General features: G+C 38.2%; 1 protein-coding gene across 22 annotated transcripts in view, besides 1 other annotated feature; it reads right to left on the reverse strand.

The window, feature by feature from the left end:
* Positions 1 to 15260, reverse strand: part of PRDM5 (PR/SET domain 5) — a 238436-nt gene that overhangs the window by 62187 nt on the left and 160989 nt on the right. For 15 of the 22 annotated variants that reach the window (XM_047449558.1, XM_047449557.1, XM_011531566.4 and 12 more), the window contains one exon: positions 8076 to 8161. The exons of 4 other annotated variants lie outside the window; for them this stretch is intronic. In XM_047449558.1, the coding sequence (XP_047305514.1) occupies positions 8076 to 8161 (86 nt within the window). Of the gene's footprint in view, positions 1 to 8075; positions 8162 to 9538; positions 9666 to 14292; positions 14370 to 15260 lie in introns of those variants that run through there. 3 more of the 22 variants (XR_938679.2, XR_938678.2, XR_938680.3) reach the window with 3 other exon arrangements.
* Positions 2913 to 2962: an enhancer, noted in NCBI's record as "active region_21862". NCBI's record gives its function as "activates an Ori minimal core promoter by ATAC-STARR-seq in GM12878 lymphoblastoid cells {active_cell/tissue: GM12878}" and the evidence as "EXISTENCE:reporter gene assay evidence [ECO:0000049][PMID:35858748]".

Consider the following 15260-nt stretch of genomic DNA (forward strand, 5'->3'; position numbering starts at 1 on the left):
CCATCAGAGTGAACAGGCAACCTACAAAATGGGAGAAAATTTTCGCAACCTACTCATCTGACAAAGGGCTAATATCCAGAATCTACAATGAACTCCAACAAATTTACAAGAAAAAAACAAACAACCCCATCAAAAAGTGGGCGAAGGACATGAACAGACACTTCTCAAAAGAAGACATTTATGCAGCCAAAAAACACATGAAAAAATGCTCATCATCACCGGCCATCAGAGAAATGCAAATCAAAACCACAATGAGATACCATCTCACACCAGTTACAATGGCAATCATTAAAAAGTCAGGAAACAACAGGTGCTGGAGAGGATGTGGAGAAATAGGAACACTTTTACACTGTTGGTGGGACTGTAAACTACTTCAACCATTGTGGAAGTCAGTGTGGCGATTCCTCAGGGATCTAGAACTAGAAATACCATTTGACCCTGCCATCCCATTACTGGGTATATACCCAAAGGGCTATAAATCATGCTGCTATAAAGACACATGCACACGTATGTTTATTGCAGCATTATTCACAATAGCAAAGACTTGGAACCAACCCAAATGTCCAACAATGATAGATTGGATTAAGAAAATGTGGCACATATACACCATAGAATACTATGCAGCCATAAAAAATGATGAGTTCATGTCCTTTGTAGGGACATGGATGAAATTGGAAACCATCATTCTCAGTAAACTATCGCAAGAACAAAAAACCAAACACCACATATTCTCACTGATAGGTGGGAATTGAACAATGAGATCACATGGACACAGGAAGGGGAACATCACACTCTGGGGACTGTTGTGGGGTGGGGGGAGGGGGGAGGGATAGCATTGGGAGATATACCTAATGCTAGATGACGAGTTAGTGGGTGCAGCACACCAGCATGGCACATGTATACATATGTAACTAACTTGCACAATGTGCACATGTACCCTAAAACTTTAAGTATAATAATAAAAAAATAAAAAATTAAAAAATAAATAAATAAATTTTTGGGGGGATAATTTTCAAATCCTACATCAATAGACCACCCAAACCCTCTAGATAAATTCAAAAGCGTCTGATACCTAGGAACTCTGAGATACCCACCCTCGTTTGGACTCAGAGACTCACAGTCTCACTGCATGGTGTCAAGGCAAAGTGCAAAAGGCACAGGTCTGTTAAACCCAGACCTACATCTGAACAATCTGAGGATCAGGGATAAGAAAGTTCATGAAAGAAAATTAATAAAATATAAAACAATATAACAGACTTGCTGTTACTTGTAACCACTGGCAATTCCATTTTAATTTTGTAAGAACTAATTTGGCTGTTTCTGCAAACAAGGCTGGAGAGAACTGCGATCTTAGAAACTTGAAACCTGTATAAGTTAATTGGGTTTTTGAAATGTGTTCAAAAGGCAGAGTTTCTGAAATAACTTTCTAATTGGCCCAGGTGCCTTCCATGTTGAAATCAAAAGGGGTTATACGAGACGTGAAGTTTTCTATCGTAAACAGTTACAAACAACAATTTCTTTTGAACCTAATGTTTATAAAATGGGTATTTATGAGCTTGTGTCCTAACTCAATGAGTGACTGTTTTGGCTCAATGTGTCTAATGCAATAAAAACATAAGTTCTATAATTTCCAGATGATCCATAGTTCCTAAGACTAAAATGGGTTTGAGGCACTGGACACAAAGAGTTCAGCAACTGGCATTTCTCTACCTCAGTGTAGTTTGGAGTGGTAAAGCAGACCTTTGAGACAAAGACAACAGAGATAAGAAGGGAAAGGTCTGGCAGCATACCTGGGGTACCCCCAAGGCCCAAGGCCTTGGAAAAATTCAAATCTTTAAACCAAATCTTGGTTTAAAGCTACAATGTGAAAACTAAGATAATCTTGGCCAGGTGTGGTATTTCTCACCTACAATCCCAACACTTTGGGAGGCTGAGACCAAAAGATCACCTAAGCCTAGGAGCTCAAGATCAGGCTGGGCAAGATAGCAAGATCCTGTCTCCACAAAAATTTAAAAACAGCCAGGCATTGTGGTGCATGCCTGTAGTCTCAGCTACTCAGGAGGCTGAGACTACAGGACCACTGAACCCAGGAGTTCAAGGTTGCAGTACACTATGATTGCACCACTACACTCCAGTCTGGGCAGCAGAGCAAGACCCTCTCTCTCAAAAAAAAAAAAAATTCCCCAAAAGAGGACCTGCTCCCTCCAAATAGCTCTCTCCTCCACCACACAAGCAAAGAACAAAGACCATGAATGGGACAGGAAAAGGTAGATCTAGAAAGGGATGAGAAATGGCTCCAAATGCCAGTGCCCTGAGGGTGAGTTTGCTGAGGCTTGCCTGAGGCCGCCAGGGTCTGACTGCATCCTAGGAAACAGAACCCCTTTAGAGAAACCATAGCAAAACGGCCTAAGTTCACATAGGGCCTCTAAATAGGGGTGCTTCCCTGACTGAATGGGGGAGCTAACTGGACATGGAATATAAGAAGTTCCACTTTTATCAGCTCCTGGGCAGGAAATTAATCTAGAATTAAGTGGGAAAAGTTATCCTCAAAAACCCTACACAGTTAAAAATAAATCACTATTCATAGGATGTGGAAAGCCACAAAGAACATCACCCCCAACTTAATAATGACAAAAAGCTGAAAAATTTACAGTCATTCTTTTAAGCTTAAGGTCATGAAACATTTTGTGAGCCAAGGTCACAAAACAATCAGATGAACTAAATGTCAAAAAAAAAAAATGGAACACAGAATAGTCTCACCTTTGTCAGAGCAAGAGAGAACCCGTCACAAAATGGGTAGGAAGAAAACAAGTGATGGTTAATTCCTTAAGGATTGTGGACTAGCATTTAGGTTAGAAACCTGGGGGCCCTGGCACATGGAAAGTCCACAGCCACTCATCTGTTTTCCACTGGCTCCATCAGGGTTCGTAAGAAAGATTAGAGGCAGGGCAGGATACCTTAGAGAGCCCCCAGGTGGCACAGACAAGGTCCGAGGGTGGAGTAGGAGTACTTGAAGGAACCCATCTGCTTTCTGTCCCTGTGCTGCATGAATACAAGGTGATGAGCAGTGGCTGCCAGGGAGCAGCAAAAACCACCCAGGCCACAGACCTGCCTCACACAGGAAACAAAAGCCTTCTGCCTCTGAGTGAGGAGGGAGACACCTGCCACGTCCCATATGTCACTCTGCTTTGACAGGAGGCAAAAGCTACCAGCTGCTGGGGGTGGAACATGAAACTCGCAGGTGTTCTGTTCCAGGCAATGACCCGTGGCCTCTGGAGAGAGACAGAACCTGACTACGTATCCTGCACTGACACCAAGGGGAGGGGCAGAAAACCTGCTCTTGCCCAAGAACCCCAGTGATCCACAGGAGAGGTCTGCTGCTGCGGGAAGAGGGGCAGAAACCTCTTTCTCATGCCCCAAACCTTCTACTCTAAAGATATGAGGTGGAGCTCACCTGCCACAGCCAGTAGGGCCAGGAAACCATCCACCCTCTAGGCCTGTGCTGTCCAACAGAGCTTTCTGTGGTGACCATAATGTCCTGTATCTGTGCTACAGAATACAGTAGTCACCAGACACATGTGCCTATAGAGCACCTGAAAGTGGCTAATATGACTGAAAAAGTAAATTTTTAATTGCATTTAATTGGATTTAATTAAAATTTAAATTTTGATAGCCACATGTAGCTAGTGGTTAGGACACTGCCGCTGACCCTGAGTGGTGTCAGAAGCAGGGGCCACCTAACACTAGGGTAGAGGCAGAAATGCTGATAAACCCACAACCCTGAGACTCAAGTGCAGAGCACCTGCCCAACTAATGCTAGAGCAGGGGCCCCAGGAAAGCCCTCTGGCCTACTTAAGTCTTGTGCCTAGTAACAAGCACCAGCGGGCTACTGCCAGTGGCGGGACAAAGGCAGAGAGAGAGAAACATGTTCTGTGGCAAAGGTACACAGGATCTGCCAAAACCTGATGGTGAGGAAGGATCCTTAAGAAAAGCCTGCTGAGCGTCCAGGCCTCGCATGAAGAACACAGCAGCAGCAGCCCACCCCCTGGAGAAGCTTACAGCAACAACAAACCCCAAACCTAGCTTAGCCATTGACCAAACTGACTCAAGCCCTCAATCACATTAACGGCCTAGCAGAAGAAGTATACCTATTTCCAGGCATAAGCAGTATTTACTTTAGTCTCCTAGACTTAGAGACTTAGTTTCTTTTACACACACACACACACACACACACACACACACGCGCACACAAAACAGACATTCAATCAAAAATTATGTTACACTTGAAAAGCAAACTCCTGCAACCTTCCCACTCATTATCAAGAGATAGAATAGTCAAAACAATGAGATTCACAGATGGCCCTGATGGTGGAAATACCAAAGAAAGAATTTAAAATAATTACAATTAATATGTCAAAGAATCTAGTGAAAAAGGTGGGCCACACAGATGAAAAAATGGGCAATTTCAACAGAAATACAGAAACTATTTATTTTCTTATCTATCTATTTATTTATTTTTAAATGCAAATTTGAAACTGAAATGTGTTATGGCCCAAGTGTAATAGTATCTGTTTTGAACTGAGTCTTACAGGGTCTTACCCTGTCATTTAGGCTGAAGTGCAGTGGCACAGTCATAGCTCACTGCAGCCTTGAACTCCTGGCCTCAAGCAATCCTCGCACCTCAGCCTCCCAAAGTGCTGGAAATACAGGAATGAGCCACTGTGCCAGGCCTTATGGAAACTATTTTTAAAAATCCAAGTGAAAATGCTAGAGATGAAAAACATAATATCAAAAATGCACTCCTTCAATAGGCAGACTGAGCACAACAGAGGTAGAAAAATCAATGAAATTGAAAATATCAATAGAAATTAGAAACAGAGAAAAACACCGAGATTTTTTTAAAAATGCAAATGAAACAAAAATTGAATACGGCACTCAAGAGCTCTGGAACAGTATCAAATAGTCTAACATGTGTAACTGGTGTCCCATAAGAAGACAGAAAGAAAGGGACAAAACAAAGTTGAAAAAAAAATGGCCAAGAATTTTCTGAAATTTAACTAAAGATAGCAGACTACAGATCTAAGCTGCAAAAATACAATGAAAAACACAACTAGGTACAACACAGTAGAAGCTGAAAACCAAATATAAAGAGAATATACTGAAGGAAATAAAATCCACCAGCCTTCACCTCAAACCCTGGTCTCTCCATGAAAGGTCAATGATTAATTGGATTTTGGCAAAATTATCTCCCACATCTGGGGCTCTTACTGCACCCTATAGGCAATAACCAGAGAGTAAATGGCTTTGTGTTCCTTTTGGAAAGCATTCGTGCAGTCACCATAGAATGTAAACCTGGGGGTATAGGCCTGACACAGCATCTTGGGTTGTCTTACCAAAACTTCCTAAAGATGTACCTTACTGAATTAGATAGCTTATTTTTTTTCTGTTGTTGTTAAAATGGAATTAAAAACTTTTAAAATAGGACCAAAAATGTCTGGGAATTAGAGCTATCTAAATGCTCATGTAATGTGAATGCAAAATTGAAACTGAAATGTGTTATGGCCCAAATGTAATAGTATCTTTTTTGAATGGAGTCTTACAAAATGCAAATAATACTGGGAAAATATGACCTTGCAGAGGTTGTTCCTCTAGCACATTTTTTAAATCTCTTTTGAGTTTTAATAATAGTTTGATTGTACTAGCTGATAACCTTAGTAGGCTTTTGAAAATTTGAACTAATATGCAAAGATTATCTGTATTTATTCAATGCTTAGGAAACAGGATTTTCAAAATAAAACTGTCTGGGTAAAATATTTTAAAAATGCATGAAAAAGGAAAATTAAAAAAGAGTTTGAGGTAAAACCCAAAAGGCTTACACATATTTACCCTGTTCCTTGGATCTTCTACTCATTACTCATTGTGGGGGATCCTGCCTAAAATCCTGGGTGCTTCTGGTCTATAAACTCTCTTGAGTTCCCTTAGTCAAAGCCTAGAATTTGTTTTCTTTTTGTGCAGTTAATGTCAGAAAACTTCTGACAAGGGACCATCTGCAGCTGAATACTTTGGAGACAGTGTTGGGATCCTTAAATCGAGGTTCAGAAATTCAAAAGAATATGGGACTTTTAAATTTGGGGTCATTACTGTAATTTGCTTAGTGTGGAAATATACCAGAAAATATATGAGACAGTGGAATGAGAAAATATTCAATTAAATAATAGGCAAAAAAATGCAAATGGTCTTTGTAGCCAGTCTCCCTAGGTTCAAATCTCAACTCTGCCACTTACTTGTTTGTGCCTCAGTTTCTTGTTTTACAAAAATAAATCATAATAACAGCTACCTCATAGAGTTGTTGTGAAGCTTAACTGAATTAATAAATGTGAAGGCCTAAAAGAGTACTGGCATGTAATTAGTGATTTTTGTGTTTATTTTTATTCATCTTAACTATCTGTATTATTCTCATTAATAACTTTATATTAAAATGAAGTAAAAAACAAATTAATTGAATTGGAAATGTCTCACCTTCTTGAGAAAACCCAAAAGATATTTTTTCCTGCAGTGATTTAAACAGCTTCTTCTGTGTTGTAATCATGTCTATCTTCAGTAATCAAGTAAAACAACATCATATGTAAATTTCTGTCAATATCACTAGTTTCTATTAAGAGGAACCAGGGCCCCTTTGCCTTTTTGTCGGCATCTTTTAAATAAATACATTATTGATACATCTGTGACAACTGCTCACATGTAAAATAACCTCCTAATCTCAAGCTAATTTAAACCTCTTTCATAATACTCATTGTGAAATATTTTGGATATTGTACATTTAAATCATACTATTATAAACAGGAATATCTGTCTAATCCTTTATGGTTTATGAAGTACTTTTATATCTAGGAAGTACTCCAATTCCTAATATTCATATAATATGAATGAATATGATACTACAAACTAGAGTGAGAAACCTGCTATAGATTTGCTTTAATAAGTGGAGAAGCTCCCTCTCTTCACCACAAAGACAAAAAGAGTATTTTCTTAAGGGGACCACAGAGGATAGCTTTTACGTGCTGCAGAACTGAAGTGGAAGGCTACAGTATTATTATACCGGGAAGAATATTATTATTATGTGTTTTCTCTAAAATTTTTATTTTATAGCTAAGGTAAAAAGTAAAATCCAGGAGAGGTTTAAATTAGAATTGTTCTAAAGGGGATTAGATAAGTCTCTTAAAATTTGAAAAAAAAAATACATCATTTACATACAGACCATACGCACTTTAAAAGGCCAAACTGAAAAGAAACTGTGAAAGATAATGCAGTGAAAAGTTGTATAGAGCAAAATCAACAATAGCTATTTAAAACAATATAAAATTTCCATGTGGAAAGTTCATTTAAAGTGTCTAATTGTGCTTAAATCGAATAGTGAGCTATGAAATGGTGGGTGATGGTGAGTAAGCTGCTTACATTTTTTTAAAAGCATGTGAAACAGATGCTTGAGTCTGGAAAAGGCATAGATAACAGAATGACAATAGTCCAGTGAGAGTGTTGACAGCAAAGGAACAAAGGGCACCCTGGGAAGAATAAGCCACAGCACTAGGCATGCCCTGTGAAGCACTGAGCTACACTTCCTTATTTTCCACCTGTCCTGGTAATTTATCTGCAATGTCTTTCTTGCAAATATACTTGCTCATCAGTATTACTTAATGGCCAAATGCTGACAAACTTGCAGACTCTATTAAAAAATGTTCCTATTACTGGTGAATATTCTGCAAGAAAAACCTTTAAATATTGTAGTATTAAAATTTTAAAATCTATTTATCTTGAAGTTCATCATTTATAACTCCTGAAAATTGAGTCCTGATTCAAAGAATAAAAACCTTTTTGAGGTTTCAATTTGTGTTTTTTTTCTTCTTTTCTTTCATTGTTTTATCTTTAAAAAAAATTATCCTGAAATATCTGTCATAAATATAGATATACAACTTCCAGTGTATTGCCTTTATTTTGTAATATAAAGTTAAATATATTTCTTTTAAAATAAGTATGGTTTTCATGATCAATATTAATGAAACAGAATATAATCTTACCCTGGTGTGAGTACGAATGTGCATCTTCAGTCCATCATTTTTACTGAATCCTTTTTCACAGTAAGGACATTGATAGGGACGCTCACCTACAAATAAAGGAAGCCTCCATGTCAGAAAAACATGAAGTAGCAGAACCAGTCCTGTGCTATCACTTCTCACACACTCAGATCCTGGCCACCGCATATGCCCTGTGCTACTTCAAGAAGTGGCTCCAGGCACAGCAGGGCAGATCCAAGCATGGGTCGTGCAGGACAGCAGTGGACTGTGGCCTCCCCTCCTGTGGAGAGGGCACTGAGCCCAGAGCACTTCCGATACTCAAAAATAAACATTTGCCAGTAGCATATTTGCTGCATATTCCTTTTAATACTTGAGACCAAATTAAATCTCCTCATTTTAAGAATTTGTTAAAAATATTTTATGTTAATCAATTTGCTCTATCACTGTACTACTCTTTAAAGGGGAATTATTTAACTGATTCATTGACACCTTGTTCTGTTTAATTTTTTTGTTTCATATAAATGAATTTGACTCAGTTAAGGCTGTGAGTTTCAAAAGAATTTCATAAAATTGGTATATGTTCAAAAGGACCATTGGTAGTTAAACTAAATAATAATTAATCCATACTTTCTGATATAATCAAATATCTCTCACCTAGAGGCTATAATTTTGAAAACAGCCAAAATGTTTTTCAAGACAAGCACACATATACACAGCACATTTCAAAAAAAATTCTACTGTGAAATGACAAAACTGTGACAAAATTTAATCTCCAAAAGGGATCTGAAGATGCCCTCTTGTCAAAGCCAAATCATTTAGGATGGACAGTAGCTCAAAATCACTAATTGATTTATTCTTTCATTTAACAATGTACTTACACAGCAGGATGCTAGACCCTGGCTGCAATCAAAGATCAATATAATAAAATATTTTCCTTCAGCTAATGTAAAACTTTTGTCTTCCCTTCAGAGCCAGGCCTTCTGACTAGCAGTGTATGTTCTTCCTCTACTCTCTCATGTTCCATTTGGTTCTGATCTTAATTCAATCTGGATATCATGTGCATTATCCCAGTCAACTCTCTCATGGGGTCAACAATGCCCCTTGTTGCTTGATCCAGTGACTACTTTTCAACAAGGCCTTCCTTGACCTCTCCCCTGTCCCTGACACTGCTTCATGAAATTGTCAGTTACATTCCTGGATCTCAAGGCTGGCCCCATTGCACAATGGCCTTGCACTGTTCTCCCCAACTTTGTTTCCAGCAGAGACATCATACGGAAGCACCTGCAGCGGTGTCCCCTGCCAAGCGACATTTTCCAGCCTCTCCTCCTTGGGGAGAAGCACCCAGGATTCTCCCTTTGGACCAGGCACTGTAAAATGGTGACAAACACCCAAAGTAGCAATAAACTAAAAACAACAATCACAACACAAACAGGAACAGGTCCCTTAAATGAGCTATCCAGACTTACCAACTTCTCTGAGACAAAATCAACCTTTGCACTAGGTAAGCTGACCTAGAATTATTGACCTTAGGATCATCGTGACTCTGGGAAGGTGTGGCTTTTCCAAGTCAGTAGGACAAAGGCTTGGCAACATCTAGGAAAAGATCATCTTATTTTAACCCTGAGTTGATAACACATGCTTATCAGAATTCCAGATCTCTATTGAGCCCCAATCTCCATGTACACATATGTCTAACAGGTACCCTCCTTTGGGTATCTCACAAACAGCTTAAATCAGTGTGCATTGTTTTGAATTTGCGGTATTTATCCTTTGGTCTTATGCATGCTATAAATCCTGTCCTGATTAGTTGTACCACATTCACCTAGTTAGCAAATTAAAAACTTGGGAGCCATCCAAGATAACCCCACACTTTTTTACTCACTTCTCCCTCCATCCAGACTCTAAGTCATAATGATTTTGCTTCTCTGATATATCTAGAATTTTTCTATTTCAGGATGATGATAAAAAAGAACATTATAGTAATAGCAGTAACAGCATCAGCAGCAATAGTAGGAGTACAGCAGGAGCTATCATTTACTGAGATCTTAATCATTTAACCTTGAACCACAAAGGAAAAGGACAGGAAGAAAACATAGCAGAATGTGACTGCTAAATGGTGGTAGCTCCTGCATCACACAATTCCAGATAATTTTTTCATTTTCTTCTTCATAAAGTATAAAAAGTCATTTTTTAGATTTTCAAAGTTTATTTTACTTTAGTGATAGATAATAAACAAGGCTAAAATGTTTCCTTCTTATTTATTAACAATGAAATCCATCAACATATCAAATCTATATTAGGGATAAAGCATGATAAGAATAGTAACATGTTATTTTACACTTACGTAAAATTATTTTTCTAGCAAGCCTAAGATAATTCAATATTCATAGCTATTCTCTTTGTATCACATAGCTTTACGTCTGGTTTTGTTCTCCAAATACCAACAGAGTCCAGCAAACAAAAACAAAAGATTTGCAGTTATCAGGTAAATAATTATATGTTAATCCTAATATAATATACCAGGTTACTATTTCCTTTCATAACAGCCAAAATCCATCAAGCAAAGAAAGAAATACATAGTTAAAGACTAGTGAGGAATTTTAAAGAAGGGAACATAATAAATCCATTTCCAATTTTACCTACTGTTATAATATAGGAATTCTGTCCATAGACTTAAAAAGGCTAACTTCTTTTAAGACATAGCTTTTTTCATACATTTTTTGGAATGTGATTGTCCTGAGTTTGAATACTGTTCATCCTCCATCCAGCTGTAACTCTGACAAGGTCATCCAATGCCATTGAACCTTTGAAAAACTGGATAAATTATACCTATCCTATGAGTACAGTGACGATGTATCCAGATTCGTCTAAAGTAGTCTCAGTTTATGCCTGTTATCCTAGAATAATATAGTAATAGCTGGTTAATTTTACATGTCAACTTGACTAGGTTAAGGGATGTGGCCAGGTAGCTGGTAAAACATTATTTCTGGGTCTGTGAGGGTGTGTCCAGAAGAGATGAGCATTTGAATTAGTAGGCTGTGTAAAGAAGATCCACCCTCACCCAATGTGGGCAGGCATCATCCAATCCATTGAGGACCCGGATAGAACAAAAAGATGGAGGAAAAGTGAATTAATTAATTCCCTCTCTTTCTCTCCTCCTCCTCCTCCTTCTTCTTTCTCTTCTCTTTTCTTTTCTTCTCACTCATCTTTCTCTTCTTTCTTCTTCTTCTTCTCCCAGATAGAACAAAAAGATGGAGGAACAGTGAATTAATTAATTCTCTCTCTTTCTCTCCTCCTCTTCCTCCTCCTCCTTCTTCTTCTTTCTCTTCTCTTCTCCTTCTTCTTCTTCTTCTGTCTCTCTCCCTTCCTCCCTCCCTCCATCTCTCTCCTTGATCTGAGATGACATCCATCTTCTGCCCTTGGATATGGAAGCTCCCAGTTCTCTGGCCTTCATACTCCAGTACCTACATCAACAAACCCCTGCTCCTGGTTTTCAGGCCTTTGCTCTTGGACTGACTTACATCATTGGCTCACCTGGTTTGCAGAACTTCAAACTCAGGCTATATTACACCTCTGGCTTTCCTTGGTCTCTTGCAAATGGCATATCATGGAACTTCTTGGCCTCCATAACTGTGTAAGCCAATTCCCATAATCAAGCTCCTCATATATAATATATCTATAAATATGCTATTGGTTCTTTTTTCTCTGGAGAACCCTAATACAATATTACTCCCTTTCACTCTCACAAGTGTCTCAATTGGGACAATAGATACATGGTCACTTGTTATGAATGGAATTGTGCCCTCCCATACCAAATTCGTATGTTTAAATCCTAAACCCCAGTACCTCATAATGTGGCCTTACTTGGGAACTGGGTTGTTGCAAACGTTACTGGAGTAGTGTGGGCCCCTAATCAAATATGATTGATGTCCTCATAAAAAGATGGCCTTGTGAAGACAGAGACACACAGGGAGAATGCCATGTGAAGACTGGAATTATGCCGCCACAAGCCAAGAACTATCAGAAGCCAGGAGAGAGGCCTGGAGCAGATCCTTCCCTAGCGCCTTCACAGGGAGCATGGCCATGCAAGTGCCTTGATCTCAGACTTACAGCCTCCAGAACTGAGAGGTGACACAGTTTTATAGTTTAAGCCACTCAGTTTGCGACACCTTGTTACAACAGCCCTAACAAATTAACAGTCATCCTACTCTTTTTTTTTTTTTTGAGATGGAGTCTCGCTCTGTTGCCCAGGCTGGAGTGCAGTGGCGCGATCTCGACTCACTGCAAGCCCTGCCTCCCGGGTTCACACCATTCTCCTACCTCAGCCTCCTAAGTAGCTGGGACTACAGGTGCCCGCCACCACGCCTGGCTAATTTTTTGTATTTTTAGTAGAGATGGGGTTTCACCTTGTTAGCCAGGATGGTCTTGATCTCCTGACCTCGTCATCCACCCACCTCAACCACCCAAAGTGCTGGGATTACAGGCGTGAGCCACCACGCCCGACCCAGTCATCCTACTCTTAACGGTGGCAGTTACTCTTATCACTGATATCTACACATGTTGCCCATGAGGTCTACGTAAATCACTCAGAGCACCTCTAGTCTAGATGATTGGTATTTCTACCCCATGCCACCCGCCAACACTGAGCTGACATATCTGGGAAACTTGGGTAAGTTCAACTCCATTCCTTCATTCTATCCTAGAATGTACTCCAGCTTTAAAGTGCATCACCATGTAAATGGCTTTTATAAGCAATTTATTTGAAAACTATAATGTGTAGTTTGCAAATCAGCTTAGACTCTACATTAAATTTCTACCCTCTTGGTTGGAGGATGTTTAGGGCAATCCTGCCTCTCTTTTGGACTCCGAGGACAAAGCTATCTGCTGTCCCACACAATCGGAACCTGAAGGTTACCTGTACAGTCAACAGGTTAATAACTACTAAAGTCATTTTCCTAATTTGCATATTAAAGATAAATTGTTATTCTTAGGTTTTCTTCACATTATGCATATGATATTTGCCTTCATTATTTCAAATTACTGTGAAGAATGTTTCTAGGAAATATTTTCACCTACACATAAAATGATCCTGTGGAGAACAAAAACTTATCTTCAGTTTTAGTCAACTCTAAGAACACAGGTCACAGTCAGTACATGGGCTCTGATGTACAATGTGATCCAACTTCAAATAACGACTATGTTTTAATAGCTCAGGTATATTTAGACACTATCTTTATTTTGCTTAGGCTAGTCACAGTATTCAAATTCTAACTAACATGTAAATTAATTAATCTGAAAATTAGCCAAAAAAGTAGCTAAAAACAAATCTAAATGGAAATAATAACAATAGCTAAAATGTATAGAGTCTACTATAAGGTTCTGTTCTACAGTTCAGAATGCTTAACACACATTAGCAATTTTAATTCTTGCAACAATATTATAATCTAAGTATTCATATCCCTAGTTTACAAATGAGGAAAGTAAGGCACAGAAAGGATAAGTAATTTTCTCAAGATGACATAGCTTCTCATATAGTGGAGGCCGAGTTTGAACCCACTCTTAACCTCATGCCATCACATAAATTAGTAATATGGCTAGCATTTTGTGTAAATTGGGTTAGACTTTCTAAAGTTAATGACAATAACTCTGCTTCTGACAATAACAGTTTACATTAACCAGATCTTTCTGGCTGGTAGATTCCAGCATTCTTTTGGTTATCAACGCTCATCAAGAAAAAGTAGGGGGCAGGTTAGGAATGTGTGTTATGTCTTAAAGCAGTTCCCAAGTGAATCCAAACACTATCATAATAATAAGCTGTGTCTTGAGAACTACATACAGGTAGTCACTTGCAACATTTAGAAGGGAAATACTATATTGGTAAATATGTCATACCATCCTATGAGATTTAGGTATTAGATTAATAAAATAGATTTAGTGAACACAGCAGCATAAATAATAATATTTACATATATACACAGAATAAAATATTTTTCATTTAACTAAAGGAAAATAGATCTCTTTCTTTAAATTATGTGTTGACACTGAATAACACTGAAAGCCACAGTGTTTTCTTTGAACAACACATCAAGGAACAAACAGAAGCATGATGGTAACTATAAAAAGTTGATTTTGGTTGATTTTTAAAGGTGCCACAAAGTGGATACTCCATGAAGCTAATGTATTCATTCATTAAATAGACTTTTTTTTTTTTAGCACATACCATCTTCTAGTTACTGTCCTGGGCTTTGAGAATGCAGTTGCAAATAGTTTCACAAAATCACTGTCTCTTCAATTTTACTAGTGTGATGAGAAAGACAAGAAAAAGTTAAAGAAAATATATAAGATAATTTCAGATGCTGATAAATTATACAAAACAAGGATATAGGTTTAAGAAAGATCCCTGGGCTGGAGAAGTGGGCAGGTGAAGGACTTAGCTAAAGTCATTAGCAAAGGCAAAATAACTGAATAAATGCAGTTCCTTAATGCCAATTTAACATTATTCAGGCAGACTTCTTGTAGCTCTTCATCTCTGAATTGGAGGTACTTTAACTTACTCGGCTTGAAGTAAGTGTATCCAAATTCTCACTGCTGGAACACCCGAGATGGAAGTAGCTTAAAAGCTACACTATTTGAAATGTGTGTGGGGAATATTCAGAAAACAGCTCCAGAAAATTGGAGCTAGCTTTCCAAAGGCAGCCAGTAGTAATGAAAGGGAACATCTGGATGCCACATGGAACACCTTACTTGACTTGAGCCCAGCCTGGCCCCAACAAGCTACCTTGAGCCTTTGACAAAGAAAATGTGTTATGATGACAACCACCCACTAGCAAGTATGGCTAATAACAATAGGAAAAAAATCAAATCCTAGTTTAATATATGCCTTTCAGATTAAAATTTATGTATGTTACCATATAGATGTTCCATATAGATGGAATATAATTTTAATTAAAGACGTCAGAAGAATTCTAGCCCTCACCAAAGGATTAACATACTGGTATTAAAAGAGCATCTTAAGAAAATTTGTGAAGGCAGTTTAGGATAACATGAATCTTACTGATAAAACGATCCTAAAGCCACATCACTGAATATCCATCTACTACTATGTAACCACCTCAATATTCAACATCTTGACACAAATCCTTTCGAAAAAATCTATGTTTACAATACATGAAATTAATAAAGAAAAAC

Source organism: Homo sapiens, chromosome 4 (assembly GCF_000001405.40).
Source record: "Homo sapiens chromosome 4, GRCh38.p14 Primary Assembly".
NCBI lineage: Eukaryota > Metazoa > Chordata > Mammalia > Primates > Hominidae > Homo > Homo sapiens.